At 45.7% G+C, this 14,046-nt stretch overlaps 1 protein-coding gene across 5 annotated transcripts in view; it reads left to right on the top strand.

Moving 5' to 3' along the window:
- The window catches only part of SIL1 (SIL1 nucleotide exchange factor), a 251,645-nt gene that overhangs the window by 62,605 nt on the left and 174,994 nt on the right, over positions 1 to 14,046 (top strand). For 2 of the 5 annotated variants that reach the window (NM_022464.5, NM_001037633.2), the window contains one exon: positions 7,911 to 8,025. In NM_022464.5, coding sequence (NP_071909.1) covers positions 7,921 to 8,025 — 105 coding nt within the window. In that variant the 5' untranslated portion in view covers positions 7,911 to 7,920. Of the gene's footprint in view, positions 1 to 2,292; positions 2,431 to 7,711; positions 7,821 to 7,910; positions 8,026 to 14,046 lie in introns of all 5 variants that reach the window. The other 3 variants (XM_047417496.1, XM_011543570.3, XM_047417498.1) reach the window with 3 other exon arrangements.

Here is a 14,046-nt window from a genome sequence, read left to right as displayed (position 1 = left end):
CATTGGATGCACTAACTTTTGTCGCTGTGATTGCAGTTTTTTTTTTTTTTTTTTGCTAGTTTGTTTAGCTCCCTTCTTGAAGATCTGTATTCTTCTCTACTGGAGTGGGAATGGAGTAGGTCGTGTTCCACCTCTGGGAGTACAGAGAAAGGGCTAGGAATGCTCCTCACTGCCCTTCCCATTTCATCCCATCCCATGTTGTCTTCCTTCCAGGTGCCTATTCCCAGCTGGGCCTGTGGAGCCCTTCTTGGCTCCCTGTGCCCTCTGGCAGGGCTAACATCTGTACTGCCACTGTTCTCCCTTGCAGGCTGCACGGTGGATTTTGTAGCTCTCTGTAGCTCTTTGTAGCTCTCTGGTTAGGCAGAGGCTTGGATCCATTGTGAACCCTCTACCCTCCAACAGCCTCCTCTAATAACCTTTTTTCTTGGGTGCCTTGGGTTTGTTGAGAGCAGTCCCTCTTTGCTTGGCCCTAGGCATGACTTCAAAACATAGGGGAGATATTATCCCCATTGTACAAATGGCCACTGGCTCAGGGATGTTCCAGTCCAGCCACCTTGCCAGCTGGGGGCTGGACTAGTTAGAAGCCACATTTGTTTTGCTGTTCAAAGACTTTCCATTTAATTGCTGTCTGCCTCTTGACTTTCTGTTTAGTATTGTCTCAGGCGGGAAAAGCTTGTTTGCCTGACTATTACAAACTTGTTTTTCTTGTCCTTCAAATTATTCTTTAAAATTCCATTTCTTTTCTTAAGCCTTTGCACGTTGTTCTCCCTTGTCAGGGGCGTCCTTTCAGTGTCCTCTTTGCGTTGTTTCTCCAGCTTCATATTTGTCTGCTTAAATTAGGTAGTGCACTTCTGTTTGTGTAGAGGTGAGTGACTGTATGTGTGCATATGAGTTTGTGCAGCCCATAAATAGTAATGAATGTGTGTCTGTGGAAGAGCTCATCCTCTAACCTTCAGTTTGTAAAGCAGGTGATTGTCTTACAGCTGTTCCTGCAGCTGGCAGTTCTGCATGTTGGTGGCTTGGCTCTCTGGATGCCAATATGCTAGGAAAAGCACTGAGTGGGCTGGGTCTGCCTTGGGGCTCAGCAGAAAACTGCCTCGGGTTTCTCCATTTTCAGCCAGGAGGGTCATCCTTTAACATTTATTTCCTTTACCTCCTGGGAGTAGCTACCCAACAAAAGGCTTTGGTCCTCATTTGAGGCATGGGTCAGCTGGACAGTGTGTGGATCTAACAGGGAGCAGGAGCTTTGGAGAGTAGTTGCCTGGCCTGGCTCTGATGGGCTGCGGGTCCAGGGCAGCAGTCATCATTTCCATTCCAATGATGGAGTGGGCCGGGCACCGAGGCTCAGGACTGTAATCCCAACACTTTGGGAGGCTGACATGGGTGGATCAGTTGAGCCCAGGAGTTCGAGACCAGCCTGGGCAACATGGTGAAACCCCATCTCTACAAAAATAATAAATTTTAAAAAGCCAGGTATGGTGGCACACCATATCTGCTACTCGGTAGTAGTCCCAGCTACTCAGGAGGCTGAGATGGGAGGATTGCTTGAGCTTGGGAAGCAGAGGTTGCAGTGAGCTGAGATTGTGTCATTGCACTCCAGCCTGGGTGACAGAGTGAGGCCCTGTCTCAGAAAACAAACAAAACAACTAATAAAAAAATGGAGTGATGATTAGATGCTAGGTGCTGTACCCAGTACTTCCTATTCATTGCTTTATTTAATCCTCGCTACCAACCTTTGAAGTAGAAATTCTTAATGTACCTATTTTATAGGTGAAGAAACTGAGGCCTAGTGAAGTTGTGTCCAAGATCACATAGCTAGGAAGTGGCAGAGCCAAGAATTGGCCTTAGGTCTGTCTGACTTCAAGTCCATGTGTTATACTACCCAGTGTTTTTGTTTCTTTTGTCTCTTTGCTTCAGTTTCTTCCTTATAAAATGGAAGTAGGAATTCTTGCCCTTTCACTTTTCCCAGGAGATTCAGGAAAACAAATACATGAACATACAGTGTAGGTTAATAACATGAGCATTTTATAAGATGGAATTCCAAGGGCTCCATGGCAGGCTACTGAGTTGGCTTTGCTTGTCCAGGACACTTAGAACCTTTTCCAGTTCTTTCTGTGCTCTGGTCCTGAAACTCAGCTACTGCCCATGGGTCCTGCCAGGTGTGTCAGAAGCTGCCAGAGACCCAGCAATACTGCTCCCTCTCCCTTTATTGGCTTCTTGCCATCCTCATCCCATTCTTTTGTTTTCCATTCTGGAGAAAAGACATTAAGAAGAGACGTCTTGTTTACACAGGGCCCAATCCCCACCCCCAGTCTTGTCTGAATTGTGTGGAAGACATGAGGCACTGAGAGAGGTGGGGGCCGAGTGGCCTCCTCCCACCTGCTCCCCAAACATCTGCTCTGGGCTGCAGTAAGCTGGCAATACAGATTGGTGAGTGCATCCAACCTCTATTTAAGCAGAGGTACAGCCTACAAATGGACACTTTTGATAGAAAAATGGGCATCTCAAGTACCTTATTGTCTCTTCTGTCCCAAAGCCCAAGGATACTTAAGGAAAGAGTTACCGGTGAGACACTGAAATAGTTTCCCCTTTCCTGGACAGAGTGATGGTATTTTATGTCAGAAGAGGGCCATAAATGTAAAGATGTAGGTCTGTCCTCCATTGAAAGCCAAGGATGATGAGAAGGATTTTTTTTTTTTTGCAGGGTATGCAGGGGCCATTGATCAGGTGAACCCAGAGTTTATGGGTGGCAAGTGGTTTGGGAATGGCACTATCATCAGGCCAGGTGTGCCAAACTGTGCCTCAATGGGATGCCATGACTTTGGCTTTACTTATGCCAGGGACCGCAGCTGGCTTTTGCCACTGCTGCTGCCTCTGTCCCTGCTTGTGATGGTGGGCCATCCTGGCAAAGCATAGCTGTGTGCCACTTCCCTTTCCCCCTTTCCCTTCTCCCTCAGCTTTAGCATAAAGCCCAGGGCAAACTATGCCTGCCACTTCTTGAGTAAGGACCAAGACCAGGTGACGTGGCTGCAGGCCAGGCCTTAAAAGGACGGAGAACACTGTTTTCCGTGCCTGCATGCTGTAGTTTGTACTTGCTCTTGCTCTCTGGATGCCCCTGTGAAGCCTGAGAAACTATCTCACACCTTTCTCCCAGCCTCACCTAGGTCTCTCCTCAGTCCTCTCAATCTCCCCATCCCTCTCCCACTGCCCACCTCAGCTCCATGTTCTTGTCCTCTCTTTCTCTCTCTCATTCTCTCTCCCTGTTTTGTGGAAAAATATATAGAGGCAATAACTGGGTCAGCTGTGCAGTCCATGTGGAATTATTGAGGGAAGATGAAGGATCCACTTGTGAATCCACCTCTCATCCTTAGTATTGGCAGAAAATGTTTCTGACAGTGTTAGCGTGTGTGCAGGAGACAGAGATGGCTGGGAGCCCTGTGGGAGCTACCATTTCTCTCACCCTCCACTCCTCTTCCCACTCCAAGGAGTGGGGGAAGCTGCTGTGTGTGCATCAGCTGCCCCTGACCTCTTCTTCCTCAGTCCCTTCTGGGCCTCCCCCTTCTGCTCATTTGTCTTCTTTGCCCTTGACTATTTCCTTCTCATTTAGCTCTTCCTCCTCTTCTTTTTCCCCAGCACCAGTTTCGTTGTTGATCCCTAGCTGTAAGAAGGAAGCTCATAACTGTGTGTCTGTATGTGTGTGTCTGTGTGTGTGTGTGTATACACATGAGTATCTCATGGAAGGGGAGGGATATCTGTGGCTTTGGGTTAATCTTTGTTTTGTTGTATGTTGTCCTGATAATGCTGTGAGTCCCCCACTTCTATTCTTTATTCTTTTTCTCCCCACAGCCAAGGCTGCAGCGTTAACAGAAGTATAGAGCAGTATAGGCAGCTCTAGGGTTGTGCCCTCTCAGGAACCATCTCCCTAGGCCTCCCTAGCCTTCTCCCTCCTGTTGTGGTGACGCCTTGCCCTTGTTCATCCTCACCCAGCCTGGCCCCTCTCCTGCTCACACCCAGGGATGGCCAGTCACCTATCCAGAGCCTGGTGTGGTGCTGTGAACTCAATCCCTGTCTTTCAGTGTGATTGGTGCCCCAGGGAGCCAGGTTGCTGGGGGAAGCTCTCGTGGCACTCAGCCGTTCCATTTTGTCGGCAAAAAAAGAGGGGGGGAGCTGGCAGAAAGCTAAGGCTTTTGCTGCTGGGTGAGTGTAGCAGCTATTTTTAGTACCCGAGCCTTTGCTTTTCCATTTGGCTGTGCTTTTTTGCACAGTGGCGGTCCAGCAGGGCTGTTTTCCTTCATGGCTGCAGATGTCCTTAGGGAAAGTTTCTTCCGACCCCTGAGAAGATGTGGGCAGGGCAGAGGGGTAATGACTTCTGAGAGTGGGTTCAGGCACGCTTTGGGTCCCACTGCAATCATGCCACAGGTCCAATTTGTTAAGGTGAAGCAGGGAGGAATGTGGCAGGAGTGGGATAGAGAAAAAGTAAACACCGCATTCTTCAGAGGTGCTGCCCTGTAATTAACTCACTTAAGCCTCAATTGAGTAAACTGCCTAATGAGGTATACTGGGGCTGAGGGATAAATATTAAAACCTCTTATAAGGGTCTGGGCTAATACTGACACATCCTGAATTTTCATAAGGTTTTCTTGTTTGTTTTGCTTGTTTTATTTTGTTTTTCTTTCCTAGATCATTTGCTAATTTGGATTAAGTTTTCTTGACGTCTATCCTAGTTTACTAGAATATTTTCACTATTCCAAATAGAAACTCTTTACCTATTAAGGAGTAACTCTCCATTTCCCCTTTTCCTTAACCCGGTAACTGCTTTTCTACTTTCTATCTAAATGAATTTGTCTGTTCTAAATATTTCATATAATTAGAATCATACAATATCTGAGCTTTTGTGTCTGACTTATTTCACTTGGGATAATGTTTTCAAGCTTCCATGTTGCAGCATGTATCAGAATTTCATTCCTTTTATGGCTGAATAATATTCCATTGTATGTATATACCACATTTTGAAAATCCATCTTTTGATGGCACTTGGATTGTTTCCACCTTTTGGGTATCGTGAATAATGCTGCAATGAACATTGATGTACATATATCTGTTTGAGTCCCTGTTTTCAATTCTTTGGGGGATATGCCTAGGAGTGGAATTGCCGGGACATATGTTAATTCTATATTTAGCTTTCTGAGGAGCCACCAAGCTATTCCCAAGTGGCTGCACTGTTTTATATCTACACCAGCAATGTACGAGGGTTCCAGTTAATCCACATCTTCACCAACACTTGTTATTTTACTTAAAAAAAAAATTACAGCCATCATTGTGGGTGTGAAGTGGTGTATCATTGTGGTTTTGATTTGCATTTCCCTCATGGTTAATGATGTTGAGAACCTTTTCGTGTCCCTATTGGCCATTTGTATATCTTCTTTGGAGAAATGTTTATTCAAGTCCTTTGCCCATTTTAATTTTTTTTATTTTTTTTAGTGGCAGAATCTCACTCTGTTGCCCAGGCCGGAGCACAGTGGCATTATCATAGCTCACTGAGGTCTCAAACTCCTGGGCTCAAGAGATCTTCTCACCCGAGCCTCCTAAGTAGCTGGGACTGTAGGTGCACACCACCACACCTGGCTAATTTAAAAAATTTTTAATTTGTTTTTTTAGAGAAGAGGTCTAGCCATGTTGCTCAGGCTGTTCTTGAACTCCTGCCTTTGCCCATTTTTAAATTGGGATACTTGTCTTTTTATTGTTGAGATTTAGGAATTCTCAACACATTCTGGACAATATACCCATAACAGAGATGTGATTTACAAATATTTTCTCCCATTCTGTCTTTTCACTATTTGATAATATCCTTTGAGACCCAAAAGCTTTTTAATTTTGATGAAGTCCAATATATCTATTTTTCTTTTGTTGCCTATGCTTTTGGTGTCATATTTAAGAAACCAGTGCTAAATCCAAGGTCGTTAAGATTACATCTATGTTTCCTTCTAAGTTTTATGCTTTTAGCTCTTAAATGTAGGTCTTTGATTCATTTCTAGTTAGTTTTTATAAATGATATAAGGTAAGGGTCCAACTGTACTCTTATTATTATTTTTGAGACGGAGTCTCGCTCTGTTGCCCAGGCTGGAATGCAGTGGCGTGATCTCGGCTCACTGCAAGCTCTGCCTCCTGGGTGCACGCCATACTCCGGCTTCAGTCTCCTGAGTAGCTGGGACTACAGGCACCCGCCACCATGCTCAGCTAATTTTTTGTGTTTTTAGTAGAGATGGGGTTTCACTGTGTTAGCCAGGATGATCTTGATCTCCTGACCTTGTGATCTGCCCGCCTTGGCTGGGATTACAGGCGTGAGCCACCACACCTGGCCCCAACTTCACTCTTACACTTGTGGATATCCAGTTGTCCCAGTACCATTTGTTAAAGAGACTGTCCTTTCTCATTGAATGGTCTTGGTACCATTGTCAAAAATTGGCCATATATGAGATTATTTCTGGACTCTCAATTTTATTCCATTGGTCTGTCTGTCCATCCTTATGCCAGTATCACCCTTTGATTACTGTAGCTTTGTAGTAAGTTTTGAAATCAGGAAGAGTGAGTCCTCTAACTTTCTTCTTTTACTTTCTTAGATGGGTACTCACTCTGTTGCCCAGGTTGTAGTGCAGTGGTGCGATCTCAGCTCACCGCAACCTTTGCCTCCCAGGCTTACGCGATCCTCCCACCTCAGCCTCCTAGGTAGCTGGGACTACAGGCATGTGCCACCACACCCAGCAAATTTTTGTATTTTTGGTAGAGATGGGGTTGTGCCATGTTGACCAGGCTGGTCTTGAACTCCTGAGCTCAGGCACTCCACCCATTGGCCTTGCAAAGTGCTGGAACTATAGGTGTGAGCCACCAGACCCGACCCTTTCTTCATTTTTAAGATTGTTTTGGCTATTCTGGGTCCCCCGAAATGTCATATGAGTTTTAGGGATGAGTTTCTCCATTGGGATTTTAACAGAGATTGCTCTGAATCTGTATGTTGCTTTGGGTAGTACTGTTGTTAACAGTATGAAGTCTCTAATTCATGAACATGGGATGTCCTTCCATCCTTATATTCTTTTAATTTTTTTTTTTTTTTTGGAGGGATGGGGTCTCATTCTGTCACCCAGGCTGGACTGTAGTAGTGCAGTCATGGATCACTACAGCCTCATCCTCTGGGGCTTAAGTGGTCTTCCTGCCTCAGCCTTCCACATAGTTGGGACTACAGGCTCACACCACCATGCCTAGCTAATTTTTTTGTTTTTTTAATTTTTTGTGGAGACAGGGTCTCACTGTGTTGTTCAGGCTGGTCGTGAACTTCTGGCCTCAAGTGATCCTCCCACCTTTGCCTGTCCTTTTAATAGCTACTGGGGCTTGTACTTTTATTTGTTTGACTGTTTGAAAGCTGATGTGAGAGGTTTTGTGACTTGGGAATATCGAACTTTGCTGTCTTAGAGGATATTGATGCCATCTGTCTTCAGGTAGGATAATGGGTGTGTTTTAGAAGTGGGTGGTTATAAAGGCTTATGTGGATTTGTGCCCATGTTTGTTCACATGCAGATCAGTTGGTTAGTTTCCCTCTCTCCTTATAGTCAAGACCACCCGCCACAACCTGATAACAAGTTCTAATGAAGAAGGAAGGGACTAGGGCTGTAATAGCTTATGCAGGAGTCCTGATCGACTGTATGGTTCTACCCAGGGCATATCTCTTGTTGGATGGCTGGACCCACCATGGTAGATGGAGGCTTCAGAATTATCTAGAAGTGGTAGAAGACTCGTTATACCTCTATGCAGGAAATGTCTGACATGTGAGCAAGTGACGACATGGGAATCACAGTGCGGGGGAACCAAGCATTAGCTTTTCATTGACCTTCTGTTGTCTATGCTTGCACCTGCAGGTCCCTGACTATGGCTCCCCAGAGCCTGCCTTCATCTAGGATGGCTCCTCTGGGCATGCTGCTTGGGCTGCTGATGGCCGCCTGCTTCACCTTCTGCCTCAGTCATCAGAACCTGGTAAATATCTTTATTGTAAATGGGAGGGACCCTTGATGAGGTCTTGAGAAGGCCTCCCTGTCACCAGGGCTGTTGTGGGAGTAGGGTGTGGGCTTCTATGTTTCTTTCTTATGTGAGTGTGGCTGGCAGTGGATCATGGAGTAGGTAGACTTCTTCCTCCCCATCCCTGTGTCTTCTGGCCTCTGTTTAAAGCTTATGACACAGTTTCCCTTTGGGGAAAATATGATGATGATGATAAATTCATAATTATAATCTTCCATTTACCAAACCTTGTAGTGAGTGCTTTATATGTATTCTCATTTAATCCTCCCAACAACACTATGAAGTAGGCAGCTACAGTTTTTATTCTCCTTTTGAGGAGAAGACTAAGACTCAGAGACATTAAGTAACTTGGCCAAAATCACACAGCCAGTTTGTGAGAGCTGTGAATGTCAGGATTCTTCCCAAAAGCTGAGTGCCTGTGTGGTGGGCATCAGTTCCAAGTAAGACTCTTTTTCTTCCTCTACTCCTCTCTCCCTTGTACTTTCTCAGTTCATCTCCATCTCTGTATCCTCCTTCCTTTTGTCTGTAGCTCCCTGTTCTTTCTGGGCCACACTTCATTAACCTAGAGCTTACTGCTCAGGGCTTCTGCCATTGCCACTGGCAGGAGGAGAATGCCCAGAAAGGCCCTGAGCTTGGCCTGGCTGCAGCACACTACGGTTCCTGGCCCTGTTTACTTGGCTTGTCCCAGCAACAGCCTGCCCTTGACCAGCTCCTAATGCCCTCCCTCTCCTCTCCCTTGATAAGCTCCCACTGTCAGTTATTTGACAGTTTCACCCTCCCCTGGCCACCTTCCCCAACCCCCAGGGCTCCCACTAAATGTTGGATAAAGCGCTGGAAGCTCTGGAGCGGGAGGTCCTTGAAGTGCAAATGACAATTGTGATGAATTTAATAACAATCCAGCTTAGCTGTGGTTCACCTCTGGCTCATGGCAAGCTTCCACCTTCTCTCTGAAATCATTTGTTTCCTCTCTGCCTTTCCCCCCACTTCGTGGAGCAGGGGAAAACATACAGTTAGGAGTCACGAGTCCTTTTGAGTTTTTAATGCCCTCTGAGATCCTGTTGGTGCTGTTTATTTGCCTCTTCTTCAAGGACAGTAAGAATGGGATCCCAGGGGCCCCTGAGAATGGGACTGGCTACAGCGTGAGGTTGGGGCTGTCTCTGGCATGGGTTGGCGGTGGAATGGCCCAGAAAAGAACCTTCAGGGCCCAGGGCTGTGTCCCCTCCCCAACTTGTACCTCATGAGGATGCCATGCTCCCCATCGTGAGCTTTAGCAGATGCACAATTAACAAAGGCATGCTGATGAATTTACTTAAGGACCGAGTTAGGAAGTCCCTTTTGGATAATAGTCCAACCAAATAGATGAGCTTTCAGAGCATAATTATTCTGGCCCATTTATATTAGCTCTATTGAGTCTAGTCTCAGAAAAATGTTAATACTGACTTTCATCAACAGAAGCTGCTTTTATCCTTATGTCTGTTCCTAAGCTGTATCCATTTGTCATAATCTTTCATCATGTGCTAAGCACAAGTAGGAGTTGAAGCATCTTTTCTCTCATACCATAAAAATTGCTGCCCTGATGTCATTTAAAATCTAAATTATGCAGCCAGCCACCTTCACAACAGTGAAAATGGGGTGGAGGTGGTTATGATCCTTTCTTCAGAGCCTGGAGTCCAGGTAAGTGCTCCTGATGACCTAGAATTGTCCTCCCCAAAGGCATTGGGGCAGGTTAATGCCCACCCAGGAAAGGCCGGCTGTGTGTATCACAGTATGATCTGGAGCCAGCTTTCCTTCCTGGCTCCTGCTGTGGTACTTCCCCGGGATGCCACATCTCAGGAGGCGTGTAGATGCTGAAGGGCTGTGGTTGTGTGTTACTGGCCTTGAAAAAGGTGGTAAACAATGAGGCGGGTACAGTAGTGGAGCCTTGTGGAAGGCGCACAGGCCCTTCGTAAGATCCCTTTTGCCTCCCACTTTGGCAATTTGACCCTTTCTGAGCTTTGTTTCCTAATCTGTAAAACAGGGTTGGTACCTCCCTCTTAAGGTTTTAGTGTAGATTAAATATGATTATATATAAAGCACCTGGCATTGAAACTGGCACAATATGGCCAATAAATGGTTAATGAATGTCAGCTGTTGTTTTTTAGTATGGGGATGCTGCTTCTATGGTTTAATTTGGGCTGTGTCAAGCAGGCTTCTGTCCCAAAACGTTGCCCTGGCAGTCTGTCTCTGTTACAGTGTCTGTCAACCCACCATTAGAGATTCATTTATTCTCTTGGATCTTGAAGGCTTTGGTTTTTAAGAATCTCTTATTCGGATACAAGCGCAAGGAAGTGTGACATGGTAAGCTGTTGTCAGCTAACACCTTAGCTAGGATTTCTTGCCAGTCACTTGAGAGGAAATTGGTATTTGGAATGATGGTGATAGGGAGAAGAGAGCACTGATGATCCAGCGTGGAAGGCAGCCCTGAGAAGCCAGCTGGGAAGGCACCAGAGCACGGGGTTTACTTCACAGCTGACCAAGGGCTGGCCTGCCTCTCTCTCTCTCCTGTTCAGGACACTGCCTAGGCAGAGTGAGGCTAGTTGTGCTTGTTCTTTTACTGGGACTATGGTTTCTTACCTGGCCCATGGAAGTCTTTGCCGAGGAAGGGCATGTGCTGGTAGATATGCTAAGGTGATCTCAGTATCCCGCGTCATTCCCTCAGCTCTCAGGGCACAACTTATTAGGACATCTGACCAAGAAAGAATCATAGCAGTGAGTCAAAACTTGTGTATGGGCTTTGGAGCCAGGCAGGTCTGGACTTCAATCTCTGCTCTGCTTTTCTGAGCAGTGTGATTTTGAAAAGCCCCATATCTGTCCTCCTATGGGACTAATATGATGTGCTTCACAGATGACACTTGGATGAATTGAGGAATGGAAGGCACCTTGCCCCAGTGCCTGACATATGATCAGGGCTTAATAAATGGTAGCTGCTGTTATCATTACAACCTCATCCTCTTGATGCTGCTTTTTCTCAAAACCTTTTCTGGAACTCTGCTTTTGAACTCACTGTCCAGCCTGTGGTTTGTTCATATCATTGAACCTCTCTCAAGGCTTCTGAGCCCTTGGCCTTTGAGGATAGCTAGGTGTGTTTTGGGCAAAGCATCTAAAGACTTTTATAGCCAGGGCTCGTAAACAGGGTAAGCATAGATAGGGGAGAACCAATTTTGTGTCAATCTCCACTAAAAACTGAGGTGTACTTTAAAATATACTTTTAAATGTACAGGTTTTGTGTTTGTGTCTTAAAATCTGATTCAAAGATGATACCAAAAGGAGGTGCAAAAAACATTTTGAACAGTGACAGGATTGTTGCAAAAGAGTCTGGCCTCCTTAGGACTTGAAGCATGTAGCTCGGTGGTTCATCAGTCTCGTTCTAACCCTCCTTCTTGAATCCACTCTATTAATCTTGTTAATGAAATCTAGAAAAAGAGGCTTTCCGAACCCTTAGTAGTTAAAATGAACATCAGCCTACCTGGATTTTGGAGGATTTCCTGTGCTACCTTCTTATCACCATCTCCCTTACCCCTTTCTGCTTCTCTTGATGAGAATTTTGCTGCTTGCTTACAGCCTGCCAGAAATTACCCGGCTAATAGGTAAACTGAAACAAGGATTGAGGCTGGGTGTGGTGGCTCATGCCTGTAATCCCAGCACTTTGGGAGGCAGAGGAGGGAGGATTGCTTAAGTCCAGGAGTTCAAGACCAGCCTGGGAAACACAGGGAGACCTTGTCTCTACTAAAAATTAAAAGAAAAAAAGAAGGTTGCAAATTGATGCTTAGATATTTTAGTTTGGCCTTCTTAGTGTTCTAAAAATAAGAACATTTCACATAAAAATCTGGATTTCTGTTTTCAAGTTGAATGCCTGCGTGACAGTGGTAGACCAGCGGAGTAGCAGCTGCTTCCCTTAGTCAAGGCAAGAGGGCTCCAGTTTCTGCAGTCCCACCACTCCCTATTGTTTACACCTGGTCCACTGATTTCCCTGCATCCCTGCCTGGCCCCTGGGGCATTTCATTGACACACCTCCAAGGTAAATTTTATTAACTTTCTCCTGGTCCTGCAGTCTAATGCTTCTGACCAGGGCTGATCCTAGTGTATGTAGGCTCTGGGTACTTAGCAGACAGGGTGGTCTTTGTTCTGGAATGTGAGGCAAGTACCTGGAGCAGACTCAGGTGCTTTGGGCTTTCCTCAGTCTAAGGCACCCAGAAGACACACCTGCCTATGGGAAGGGGCATTCATTCATCTGTTTTTTCAGCAGCTTCAAACTAAGCCCTGTGCTAGGCATGGGGGTGATGAAGGAGACTGACATGGTGCCTGCCCTCTGGAAACTCAGCTGTTGGAAGTTCTTGATGTCCATGTCCTCAGAATGGAGGATGCCTCCTGCCAGTCAGTCTTCTCTGTAGTCTCATAAGCACACCTATTCTTCTATTCCTAGTTTTCTTTTGAGCTCAGATTTGTGCAAACTTTAAGTTGAAGGGATAGGAGGGGTTTGAGGCACCAGGCTGCGCAGGTGACCTGCTTGAATGATGCCATATTGTATAGTCACTCCTGGATGTCACAACACAGCCTGGAATCTATGACTGCCTTCATAAGTAATAGTAGCAGCCACCATGTACCCAAAGCCAGTGGTTTACAATGTAGTACCTCATCTAACTATGAGCTAGATGTTGTTATTATTTTCATGTTGAAAATGTGGAAACTGAAGCTTAGGAGGTTAAATAACTTTCCCGAGACACAAGAAACTGGGATTTGAGTTATTCCAGCATCTTAAGCACTATGCTGGAGTCAGTGCCTCTCATAACTATGCATATTACATCTCCCAGGTGTGGTTAGATTTGAGAGCTTCTTCTTGCCAAGATATTTTCCTTATTGGTCCTTAGTAAGGCCTGAAATTCTGCCATCTAAATTTCATGCCTTTATTTCTTGTTAAAATGTAAAAATTCTTGGAGGGGCTCTACATTGGCATCACCAGCACCTTAACATTTTAACTTTTCCTCGACAACTAAAGATCAGACATTGAGGGACCCAGGCAGGAGGGAGTCCTTATCTGGAGCCAGGCACTTTTTTTTTTTTTTGAGACAGGGTCTTGCTCTGTCACACAGGCTGAAGTGTGGTGGTGCCATCTCAGGTCACTGCAGCCTCTGCCTCCTGGGCTCTAACGATCCTGTTGCCTCAGCCGCCCAAGTAGCTGGGACTACAGACATACACCACCACACCTGGCTAATTTTTTTGTATTTTTTGTAGAGGTGGGGTTTTGTGGTGTTGCCCAGGCTGGTCTTGAACTCTTGGGTTCAAGCAATCCACCTGCCTTGGCCTCTCAAAGTGCTGGGATTATAGGTGTGAGCCACCATGCCTGGCTGAGAATGAGGTGTTAGTTGAAAGTTAAATAACTTTACAGATGTATGCATATAACATCTCCCAGTTGTGGTTAGAATTGTTGGGAGACCAAAATGAGATCTATGTAAAGTACCCAGCACGGGTCTGGGCTCATAGGAAGATTCCAAGAAATATACTTTTTATTACTAGGGGAGGGATTGGGAAGCAGAGAAAAAGCGATGACAGGGGAGGTGGGCAGGCTGAAATACCTCCCCATGTGCTAATGTGGGTTCCTCCTTGTTTTCCCAAATGTAATTTCCCAGAGCTCCGGAACCCTCTGGTTCGAATTTCCTGAGGCCTTATTACTTTTTTTGCAAGAACGGGTTTAAAAATGGGATAGGAAGGATGAGAGTCCAGGAAAGAGCAAAATGAATAATACTTTGTATTTATCTTGCATCGCTGTCTCCTGAGCTGAGAATGCTCCAGAGACACCATCTCATTAATCCTCTATGTTCTACACAGGGTGGAAGGCAACAGGTTTTAGGAAGTGGTTTCCAACCTGAGCATCTTCCTCCCTCAGCCCAGCTGGATTCTCTCCTTCCCACTTGCACGCTTCCTCCATGGTTTGCAATGGCT

Source organism: Homo sapiens, chromosome 5 (assembly GCF_000001405.40).
Source record: "Homo sapiens chromosome 5, GRCh38.p14 Primary Assembly".
NCBI classification, from domain to species: Eukaryota; Metazoa; Chordata; class Mammalia; order Primates; family Hominidae; genus Homo; species Homo sapiens.
The sequence above is the reverse complement of the archived record's forward strand: the minus strand, read 5'-3'. Positions and strand labels throughout refer to the sequence as shown.